Raw genomic sequence first — 12,349 nt, 5'->3', positions numbered from 1 at the left:
TTGCCACTATTTTCAACTGTTACCTCTTTGGAACAGTACAGCACCTGTAGTGATATCACCTTATGTAGGTATAGGAAAATCAAGAAAAGTAAGAATGTTTCACTCTGCGGTTTTACTGGTATATCCACAAGGAAATATAATTTATGGTAATAAAACAGGTTCCCATGACATGTACTTTTAAATAAGAAAAGAGCACAATGTCACAGAGATTAAAATCAAGGAAGCTGCAAGTACAGAAGATTGGACTGACCAACATGATTAGTTGATAGTAGTCTATCTACCAGTTACTAAAGCTCATTTGTTGACTTGGCCCTAGAACCCCATTGTCTAGTATTTAAGTCACTTTAGTACTTCCTTGACATGACTTTTTAAAATAGCAGTAGTGATAGTCATAATAATTGTGATATATTGAGTTCTTATCATCTATCCAGCAGTGTTCTAGGCATTTGACTGACACCGATCCACATTTCAGGGGGCATACCATTATAATGGTTTTACAGATAAGCAAAATAAAGCCTAAGGAAGTTAAAGAATTTGACCAGTGGTCAATGCTTCAGCCAAACCTATGCCATCTGGCTTCCCAAGTGTGTGTTCTTTCCTCTACCAATTAGCACCCACCAAGTCAGTTATTTCTGAAAGGATAGTCAATGGACTACTGCCTCCAAGTACCTGGGAGCTTGTTAAAAGTACAGAGAGCCTTGCTTAAGACTTAGAGAATCAGATTCTCCATGACTGGGGTCTAGGATACTGTGCATGTGTGTGTACATGTGCATGCGAGTGTGTGCTTTAGCAAGTTCCTGGTAAATCTTTTTTTTTTTTTTTTTTTGAGATGGAGTCTCGCTCTGTTACCCAGGCTGGAGTGCAGCGGCACGATCTCCGCTCACTGCAAGCTCCGCCTCCCAGGTTCACGCCATTCTCCCACCTCAGCCTCCTGAGTAGCTGGGACTACAGGCTCCCCACTACACCCGGCTAATTTTGTTTCTGTATTTTTAGTAGTGACAGGGTTTCACTGTGTTAGCCAGGATGGTCTCGAACTCCTGACCTCATGATCTGCCCGCCTCAGCCTCCCAAAGTGCTGGGATTACAGACGTGAACCACCACGCCTGGCCAGTTCCTGGTAAATCTTATACAAAGTAATTTGAAAATTGCTGCTCCAACTATCCTCCTTCTTCACGCATTTGTCTTCTGGAGAAATCTTCCCCCCTCCTCTGGTCCTTTCTGGAGGCATTTGAGTTCTCTGGTCTTTATTTTATCTTAGTAAATGATGGGATAGAATTTAGCATATGGCATAGCATGTTTTCCATGCTAGTGAGCTATGCAATTCAAGCAAAGACACAGTGAAAAAGTTAACTAATCCCATACAACAAAACCTAAAGCAGATCATTTTCCCACATATGATATGAAACAAGATAGGCAAAACAAGGCCCTGAATGCTCGGATGCACACTTTGCATCTGCCTCCATGCATAGAAGGTCATTTGTTATAATACATGTGACATTCCACAGCACAGCCTAGGGCTCTGAAGATCATGAGCTGCATGGAAGAGTGAATCCAAAGGGATGACACAAAACAGACAGTGAGATGAGAGCCATCTCTGACCTAAGGACCATTTACAACATTGCATGATCAGCATTGCACTGAATTCCCTAAGTTATGCTGAGCTTACATACGTTTTGAGATCTTGCCTCCTATCACTAAAGAAGATTGCAAAATCTTACTATGTAAGCCCTCAACCTATGTTTTCCTCCACCTAGTCTATATCTTGTCATTAAATTCCAGCCTATGTTTACTTTCCAAATACCAAGTCATGATGTCATGTTATTGAAACTGCATTCTATTTTAATTAATTATACCAGTTCACATATATATCACTCTTCAGGTTCACTTGGATCTTGTATTTTAGGAGTCATCTCTTACCAGTAAAAAGTGAAAAGACAGAAGGTGGCTGGTTGCCTGTAATAATTATCTGCCTTGTGAAGTCGGAGGAGAAATATGAAATAATGGAATCTGGCCCCAGGATTTTTAAAAATCAGTATGCAGGAAAAAATAAAAACATTGCCAAAATAAAGAATTTTATACCAACATCATGAGCATGCCTTGTGAGGTGAGAATTCATCCAAGTACAAATAATAAATAGATGGGAGAGAAACAACATTATTAGGCTTACATTTTCCAATTAGCATGCAGAGCATAAAAGTTCTAACAAGATGTGAAATCCTTTCTATGCCTGAGGACGGGGAGCTAGGTGAAATCATCATATCTCTCTGCAAAGGGAAACCTCCCTTTCAAAGGCCTTTGCTTTGAATACTCTTGGCTACAGCTCAGCAAACCTCACGACCCTCCTGGTCCTGTGCTATAACAGTACATGCTCTACCCTGAAATAGCCTCCTGTCACAGCTGAACGTTTCTTATCTCTGGGAGGATTGAAACCAGAGTGCCCTCAAAGGGCCCAGGACTGTTTAAAAATAGCAGAAATATGGCTTGATCAGACCTCAGGAATGGAGAATTCTCAAAGAGAGGAGAAAAGTGCCTGCTGACGGTCAGCATTTGCCCTAAGCACTCATTCTTGCATTCAGTTTTTGTCTCTGCCTGATTTCATTGAAGCTTAATTATGAACATAATCGTTTTTCCTTTGAGGAGCAAGTGCTGGTTTGGGAAAAATGGCCTTTATTCCTCAAAATTCTCACTGCATGCTTCAAAGATGCCTAGATTTGAACATCAAAAAAGTATAATCCAATGAGTTTGGTAACTCCTGAGAAGGTTCTTTTTTGAACAGAACAAGAAAGACATTAACTTTCCCCAAGTATAAAAACACAGGAAATGTCAATGTGAAAGACTGATGGGAAAGACATGAACATTTATAGTGTCATGGGAAATAGAAATATAGAACTATGCTGCAGTATCTGACAGCATTAGGTACCTAGGTGTACCACCCATGGCTTAAACCACATGGATGTATAATATTTTGACATGCTAAGGCATATTTATTTTGCCTTAATACAGTGAAGTGAATCTAGTTTCAATCCAAAGAACAGTAGTGCTAAGGATTTTTGTTTGGCATCTGAGTAGACTTGTAAAATGGTGAAGGACACGTACCCAGTAGGCATATGTCATCAATACATTCTTCACAGAGTATCAGTACTCTGCGTGGTTTCTGCAGAAAAAGCTAAAGCTGTGTAAATAACATTGCCCTAAATCCCTTACCAGAGCTATTCATACAAAGTCTTTATTGTAGCTATCTCCATGAGCATGATATGTAGAGATATTGTATTGTTGACAATCAGATAATGTAAATTACATTTGCTCTGAAATAGCACTGGTTGTTGCTTTTGAAGCTAGCCATGGTCAAACTTAGAAGATGGAGAACATATGCCCACGTGGCTTAAGAACTAGATTGCTGTCTGTTTAAAGTCTCAATTCCTTGAAACTATCAAGACTGATGCTCATGGGAAAACACCACATGCTTGTAACATACCTAAATTTATCCACTTTGGGAAGGTGCACAGGTTTATCTGGGGAACTGAAATGAGGGGAAAAAAAGGGGGATTTGGCATATGCCAGGAAAATGGACACTGCACTAAGTAGTTTACATTTATCACTTCTTGAATGAGAACAAAAATAACACCTTTCATTTGTGTTGTGCTTCGTAGTTGCAAAGGACTTCACATGCACTTTCTCTTGTAATCTCAGTTAATCTGGCCATAAATGTGCAGGTGACACACAGCTAAAAGTTTTTGTTAGAAGACAGAATTCAGATTTCAGGCTACGTAGGGCAGTGATGGATCATATCTAACAAGATTAATTCGTGGGGTAAGGGTAAGGACTAATCAGCTGTGTTTGTGCAAGGAGTGGGTTCAAGAGCTGGTAGAAGAAGCACTTATGGAAACAACTCGGGGGTCTTAGTTTACAAAAAGCTCAATTAGAGTTGACTGTGGCTGATGAAATGTACATTTCACCTCAGGCTCTGTTACTAAGGGTCTGAAATGAGGAAGCTGGCATCCCACTCGAACACACCTGGAGTATTAAATTCCATGTTGGGTCCCCTACTTGCTAGAGGCTTACTATGCTCACTACATGCAGACACTATGCTAAACCTTTCATACACATTAGGCTGTTTAAGCTTCAAGACAACAAATGCAGCAGTAACTATTATTATCCCCTACTTGCAAGTGAGGACATGGAAGGTTAGAGTGTGCAGTGGCCATCTGCCTATTGGCCTGGCCAATATCCATTCCATCTCTTCTTCTTTGGGTAACTACCTCTCCACCTTTATGGACAGGCTTAGTTGAACACCAATCAAACCCTAAGCTAAAGGGTGAAAATTTGAATCAAACCGAACCCATAGTATTACTTTTTTTAGGAATTTGAATAATGAATGGAGTATTATAAGAACATAAAGTAACATAAAGTAATAACACCTCAACATCTCAACAGTAGTCCTCTGAAAGGATGGCCATAGAGCTCTGGCCTCCAAGTTCTTTTCCTTTCTGACTTTTCTAGGGCCTGATACTATTTTTTTTACCATATGTCTTAGCCAGTCTATATATCTCTAATAAATTTATCTTTTTATTGTTTAATTTAGTTACTATTGCTTATTACTCAAGAATATCAAATGACTTGTGTCAAGGTAAACAAGTCGTTAGTGGTGGAAATTGGATTTGAACCTTGCAGTCTGACTCTAGAACTCACACACATAACTACCACACTGGTTTGGCACCAGCGCCTGTGAGAAGGTAGCTGGCAAATTGAATGGAGGAAAGAAAAGGGAAGCAAGAAGGGAGAGGATTAGAAACCACGTGTAGACCAGTGATGGAAATCGGATTGTATATTCTAGAAAAAAAAAATGATGTGGAAATAAGTACATATCTCCAAATGATGGAAGGATAGTTGTTTGGAGGAATTATTAAAAATGACCTATATTCATTTATTCATTCACTATTTTTGTAACATTACTTCATTAAAATGTGGTAAGCATTAGGGTTACAAAAGTGAGTAACACAAAATCCTTGTTCTTGAGGAGTTTGTGATCTAGTGGGTTATAAAATAGACATATCAACTAGCAGGAGAGGAGAAATGCTATGAAGATCATCAAAGCTGAGAATAAAGAGTAGTGGTGATATCTTAGATTGGGGGGCCAGAGGAGACCTCTCTTGAGGTGGAAACACTTGAGCAGAGACCTGTAGAAAGTAAAAGATTTAATCATGCGGCTACCTGAAGGAATAGCATTATAGGCAGAGGGAACAGCAAATGCAAAAGTTTAGATTTTTTTCAAAGGATGTCCAAGCATGGTTAGAGAGCAGTGAATTAGAAAGAGGCAGGAGAGTTGATTAGAAAGAGAACCAGGGGTCAGATTACATCATATACCCTTGTATGGCTCCACTGTGGGTGGGATGAGAAGGCACTAGCAAGTTTTTACAAAGAGGATAACATAGAATAGACAGTCATGCTGCATAATGATGTTTTGTTCAATGACAGACCACATATGCAACAGGGATCTGTGAGATTATAGTGGAGCTGAAAAATTCCTGTTGCCCAGTAACATCATAGCCATCCTAATGTCATAGAGCAATGTATTACTCACCTGTTTGTGGTAATGCTGATGTAACCAAACCTCCTGCACTGCCAGTTGTGTGAAAGAATAGCACATGCAATTATGTATAGTACATAATGCTTGATAATAGTAATAAAAAACTATGTTAACTAGTTTATAACTTTCCTGTACTGTGCTTTTTATCATTATTTTAGAGCATACTCCTTCTACTTCCATTTTTTAAAGTTAACTATCAAACAGCCTCAGGTAGGTCCTTCAGGAGATATTCCAGAAGAAGGCATTATTATCATAGGAGATGACAGCTCCATGCGTGTTCTTGCCCCTGAAGACCTTCCAGTGAGACGAGACGTGGAGGTAGAAGACAGTGATATTGATGGTCCTGACCCTGTGTAGGCCTAGGGTAATGTGTGTTTGTGTCTTAGTTTTTAACAGAAAAGTTTAAAAAGTAAAATTTTAAATTAAAAGTTTACAGAAAAAGAATATAGAGCTGAGGCGCAGTGGCTCACACCTGTAATCCCAGCACTCTGGGAGGCTGAGGTGGGTGGATCACCTGAGGTCAGGAGTTTGAGAACAGCCTGACCAGCATAGCAAAACCCTGTCTCTACCACAAATACAAAATTTAGCTGGGTGTGATGGCGGGCACCTGTAATCCCAGCTACTTGGGAGGCTGAGGCAAGAGAATCACTTGAACCTGGGAGGCAGAGTTTGCAGCAAGCCAAGATCACGCCACTGCACTCCAGCCTGGGCAACAAAGCTAGACTCCATCTCAAAAAAAACTATATATATATATATATTTATAATATATATTATATATTATATGTTATATATAAATAAATATATAAATAAAAATATATAAAATATTTTTGTTAAAATGTGTTTGTGTTTTAAGGTATTATTACAAAAAGTCAAAAAGTTTTAAAAAATTAAGTTTATAAATTTAAAAAGTTACAGTCGTTATTATTGAAGAAAGTAAAATAATATTTAAATACATTTAGTGTAACCTAAGTGTACAGTTTTTATAAAGTCTACCATGGGTACATTAATGTCCTAGGCCCTCACATTCACTCACCACTCACTCAGTGACACCCAGAGCAACTTCCAGTCCTGCAAGCTCCATTCGTGGTAAGTGCCCTATACAGGTGTACCACTTCTTATCCTTTATACCCTATCTTTACTGTACCTTTTCTACATTTAGATTCACAAATACTTACCATTATGTTACAATTGTCTACAGTGCTCAGGACAGTCACATGTGGCACAGGTTTATAGCCTAAGAGCGATGGGCTATTCCATATAGCCTAGGTGTGTGGGAGCCCATACCATCTAGGTTAGTGTAACTCTATGATGTTCACACAACAACAAAATTCCCTAATGACACATTTCTCACGAAGTACTCCTGTCGTTAAGTGATGCATGACTATATTTTTAAAAACATCTTCTTTGGGTGCTACAGAGACAATAAATGGTGGCAGGCAACTATGAAAGCATGAACCCTAGTTAGAAAACTATTGCCATAGTCCAGGCTACAGAATGATGGTGGCTTATATTAGGGCGGTGGACTTGGACAGGAAAAAGGACAAAGCTTGTCATAAAATTTGAGGGCGGATCTGACAGTGTTTGTGGATGGATTGGAAAAGGAGTATGCGACAGAGGAGAATAAAGAATGACTCTTAGAATTTTGACATGAACATTTGAGTAAAGATTCCATTTGCTGTAGGGCCTTATAGGGTTGAATCGGGACTGATGGTGGATGGACTGGGTTGCTATATAAATAAAGTCTTCCCAATAGTCCTATCTGGCAAAAGAGAGCATGAAGTATTAGGTTGGTGAGAAAGTAATTGCGATTTTTGCTGTTAAAAGTAATCGCAAAACCACAATGACTTTTGTACCAATCTAATACCTCCAAAGATGACGAGTTATGCATACAGGGGGTTGGTACAGGTAAGACAGATGACATTTGGTGAGGGCTTTATAAAGGGATGGCAAATGCTAGGAGGGTATGGAACTCAGTGATCTGAAAGCATCCTTCCAATCATGCAATTCTGCCAATCAGGATGTTTACGGAATTTATAAGTATCTCATTATCTATTTCAGTTCATGCCTGTAAAAGATAATAAAAATATGCAGTAAAATAAATACACAGTAAAAAAAACTATTTTACTTATTTTAGACTTGGGCAAACTGGGGAGAGCGAATGTTCATATATCTGTCCCACAACACACTGTTTATTACTTAAGTGTAAGGCAATCCCTTTTCAAAGTCAGAACATCCTACGAAAACAACAGGGTATGACTCGTTATTCTTTCTCTTTTCTGTTCTTTTCTCGGTGTAAAGCTGGAAAATTGTGTGTGTCTGTACAGTCTGGTAAGGTAGCGGGACTATAAAAAGCAATGGCTGGGATCTGACTGCGCCTCACTCCGTGTGTTAACTGTCCTTGGAACTGGCAGAGATGATAAAGGGAGTTCCAGACAAATCAAAGAAAAGAAATAAGAACCAGGCCTGCTGACATTTTGTTTTTTGGAACAAGAAGTAACTCCTATAAATTTGATAAAAGAGCTCCAAGAGTTCTGAAAGGCATGTTTAAAGCTGATTCCACATGTTCAGGGAGTACAAAGGTCTAAACTCTTTATTTCCCCTTGATTTCATCAGTTTTCCCAAGTTTCCAGTTCCCTCTCTAGATATGCCACGTGTCTCACCCCCCTGGGGGCAAATCAAATTGGTGAGTCTCCCCAAGCCTAACCCACTCCTATCTTCATACAGAGTAAATCAAAGGGAATACATACACCTTGATTCCATTTACTTTTTAATTTTCACTGTCCCTGTCTTCCTTTGCTTGCTTCTGAGAAAGAATAGCCCCTTTTCCTTGCCAAGACTAACCTGTGAGCCTGTATCCATCTCTGCTTGACTCCCCTTAGGAATTTCCCTGGTGAACCATCCACTCTTCTGCCTCCTTTGCATTCCATTCAAGCTGTTTTTAAATACCTTTGAGTGCCTGTCCATGTCTAGCACTATGCTAAGATGTGTAACAGGAAAGACATTTCTTCACCCTTGCAATAGTCCAGTTTGTTCTGGTCCGTGGAGAAGAGATTCCAGCGAAAGGGTATGATCTTGAAGTGTGAAGTTCCCTCCAGTTCTTTGTCATGCTAAGGCCAGACACCTAGTGTCAATGGTCCGTCGTGTAGCAGAACATCACCAGGAATTTGGGGATACACAAAAGTCTAGGCATGAATTGGAAGTAGAAAGAGAAGAGCTCACCTGGTAGGCATGAAGAAATAAACCAGGATTTGTGAGCAGCTGCCTATCGGGGATGGGGGAGGACAGGTATTATGATTAGGGAGAAATTTTCCAGAGGTGAGGAATGGTTATTAGATTGTGGGAACTGTGTGGACAGAGGATGTCAAACACCACATCTGGAATCATATCTGGCTATGGTCTGTGATTACCCAAAACTTCAGGAAAAGGCTACTACTCTCCACAACATTTCTGCTTAAAGTGCTTTAGGGAAGGGAAGGAAAAGTGGTCCAGTCCAGGGTAGAGGTGGTGAGAGTAGATGGCAGTGCCAAAAAACAAAACCAGAAAGAGAAGAGAGACCACAGAGGGGTCAGCATGGTGAGCAAACCCCATTTTCATAAAAATACTTAAAAGGGGGGATTTGAAAGTGGCAGGGAGATTTCATTACATTATATGGAGGAAGCAAAAAATAATAAAATATTGGTCCTCACCTCCCTAAATAGACTAGTATCCTTCATCCCCTGGGGACCCACCTAGATTACATTCTGTTTCCATTAATAGCACCTATCCCCTCATGCCACATTTATACTATGCACATTTGCCTATGCCACTATTTTCATGAATTCCCTGAGAATGAAATTAGTCATTTATTCAACAAACTTTTATTGAATGTCTGCTATATACCAGGCACAGGGATAAGCCCTGGTCATGCAAAGATGACTAAGACATGGACTATAAATTTGTTCTTGGTGAGCTCCTAATCTGGAAAAAACAAAGGTACAGAAAAAAGATATTTTCTTTTTATGTCTTTAATGTGCCTGGAAGAAGGTGGGTTCATAATGAATATTTGTTAAGTGAATATCTATGTTGAAAGGGTCATAAATTAGATGATGAATACATTCAACAACAGAAACCACTGGAAAGAAAGCAATCTATGTAAGTCATTAGATTGGAAAGCACTTTCTTCTATTTTTTGGAATTATATGAATAGTAGTGACTACTTTGTATGAAGGAGCTGATTTGTGTGTTTTACATTTTCCTAATGTCGCTTTGATATTTCATCAGACAAGAGTGCATCCTCATTTCTACTCTAAATATCACCCCCTATCAGCCTAAAAATGATCTGCTTTTTGCATGCAATTTTTAGAAATGCAAGACAACAATGAAAATGAAAAGTTAAAAACCGTGCATGGAATAGATGACACAATGTTACCAAATCACTGAAAATTCAATAAAGAAAATTGGACAGACTTCTTTGCCAGTTATTGTCACTTGGCTTCGTTTGAAGAAATTTTACTTATATTTTAATGAAAGTTTTCCCCCTTTTGCTGGCTTAATCCGAAGCTTCCAACATTTTTAAATATTGTAAGCCAGATGAATGTTTTGTGGTCAAAAAGAAATGAGGAATGCAAGAAACACATGGCAAATAGCAAAAAATTATTCATGTGGCAATTTAATGATGCTAAAAATAAGACTGCTATGGTAGAAATGTAGGTCATAGTCTGTGCTCCCTGGGGAGCCTCACAGTATAGATTCTGGTTCAGTGATGGGAGACCTACCATGGGTGTAAATAGAGTAGATCACCAATTATGATCCGGTTCCACAACCCTAGTGCACTAGTAGTCAAAGTTCTTGGTTACAAACAATGGAAACCTCTCTGGTTAGCTTACTCAGAAGAAATTTATTGGAAGGATATCCAATATTTCTTAGTCCCAAAGAAAGCAGAGACACTCATAGCTCAGGCAGAAACCAGGAGAATGCATTCAATTCCAAGTTTAGCCACAGGAATGTTCTACGTAGGGTGCTGTGAGGGCCATTGTCACTACCACTGAAGCCATTGGCATTGATGGCTCCCTTCATGCCCCTGGGCTCTCAATGCTGCAGCAAGACATCTCTGATACTGAGCCTTTGTGTCTTCACCAAGACTTGGCACCCGATGGCTCCTGAGCCCTTGATCTCACTGCAGGGAGCAGGAGAGGGCATGGGCATTTAGCCTCTTAGCTATTGGGCCTTGCTTTACTCTCATCTTGGAATTGCCCAATGTAGAATATTCAGAGTTTATGTAGTCAAAATGTCAGAGGACCACTCTTTCTGAGTCTGGGGTCAGTACTGTGTCTGAGAGAGAGGAAAAGCTAAGCCAAAGATGGTTCCCCTAAATAGAGGTTGAAGCAATATTGACAGTAGCTGAGAAATGTGAGCAGAGGTGGCTTGAAGTTGACATCAAATAACCAGGAAAGACATGATCGGAGACCAGTAGGTCACAACTAGAACCAGTTGGGATATACTATATGGCCAAAGTTTAAAGGCAGGTAGCCAATGCTCATGGATATGGTTTCTACCATCCTTAGATATTTTGGGGGTAGATCTTGAACACTGAAAGAACAGAGACAAGCTAGATGCCTGTGAACACTATTAGTTAACATTCCCCTTCTCGACTGGGAGCGATGGTTCATGCCTGTAATACCAGCACTTTGGGAGGCCCAGGCAGGTGGATCACCTGAGGTCAGGAGTTCAAGACCAGCCTGGGCAACATGGTGAAACCCTGTCCTTACTAAAAAATACAAAAATTAGCCAGGCACAGTGGCACATGCCTATGGTCCCAGCTACTTGAGAGGCTGAGGCAGGAGAATTGCTCAAACCTGGGAGGCAGAGGTTGCAGTGAGCTGGGATTGCACCACTGCGCTACAGCCTGGGCAACAGAGCAAGACTCTACTCAAAAACAAACAAACAAAATTCCCCTTCTCCTCCAAACACTTCTGCCGTCCATCTGTCAGCACAGTACCTTCCCCTACGTCAGTGTTTCCCAAATAATGGTACACATACCATGAGTGGTATGAGACGTGATTTTTAGATGGCTATAGGGTAAACATTTTTTCATATTTATGCATTTATTTTAATGGCATTCAGAACTATATAACGACAAGTAACATTTACTTACTCTGTGCTAGGCATGGTTCCAACTCCTTTACATACATTCAGATTCATGCAATCCTCACAACAGCCTAAGGAGATGATTACTAGTATTATGTATTACCCACATTTTGCAGATGATGAAACTGAGGCCCAGAGAGGTTATGTAACATGCTTACCATCACAGGGCTAGTGAGGGAGGGAGCCAGGATTAGCAAAGGGGCAGTCTAGCTCCAGAGTCCTTGTTCTTCCTGTGCCATGATGAGGGTCTTTACCATGAGATGAGCAGCTACCAGGGCATTACGAACGAAAAACATAATTTCACCTTTTTTCTCTTTAATAAACATGAATGTGTTTCCTCACCACAACCCAGTGAGTGTAGCAATATTTACATAGCGAACATATAGTATTTAATACATGCCAATTGCTATTTCAAGTGCGTCACATATAATAAACTCAGGACCATGAGACAGAGGCTCTCATTATCCCCATTTTACAGAAGCAGCAAATGAGGCACAGAGAAATTATTATGTGCCGAAGTTATCCAGTTAGTAAATGGCAGAGATAGAATTTGAATTATTTTTTTTTTCCTGAGACAGAGTTTCGCTCTGTCACCCAGGCTGGAGTGCAGTGGTGCGATCCTGGCTTACTGCAACT

Source organism: Homo sapiens, chromosome 3, assembly GCF_000001405.40.
Source record: "Homo sapiens chromosome 3, GRCh38.p14 Primary Assembly".
NCBI classification, from domain to species: domain Eukaryota; kingdom Metazoa; phylum Chordata; class Mammalia; order Primates; family Hominidae; genus Homo; species Homo sapiens.
The sequence above is the reverse complement of the archived record's forward strand: the minus strand, read 5'-3'. Positions refer to the sequence as shown.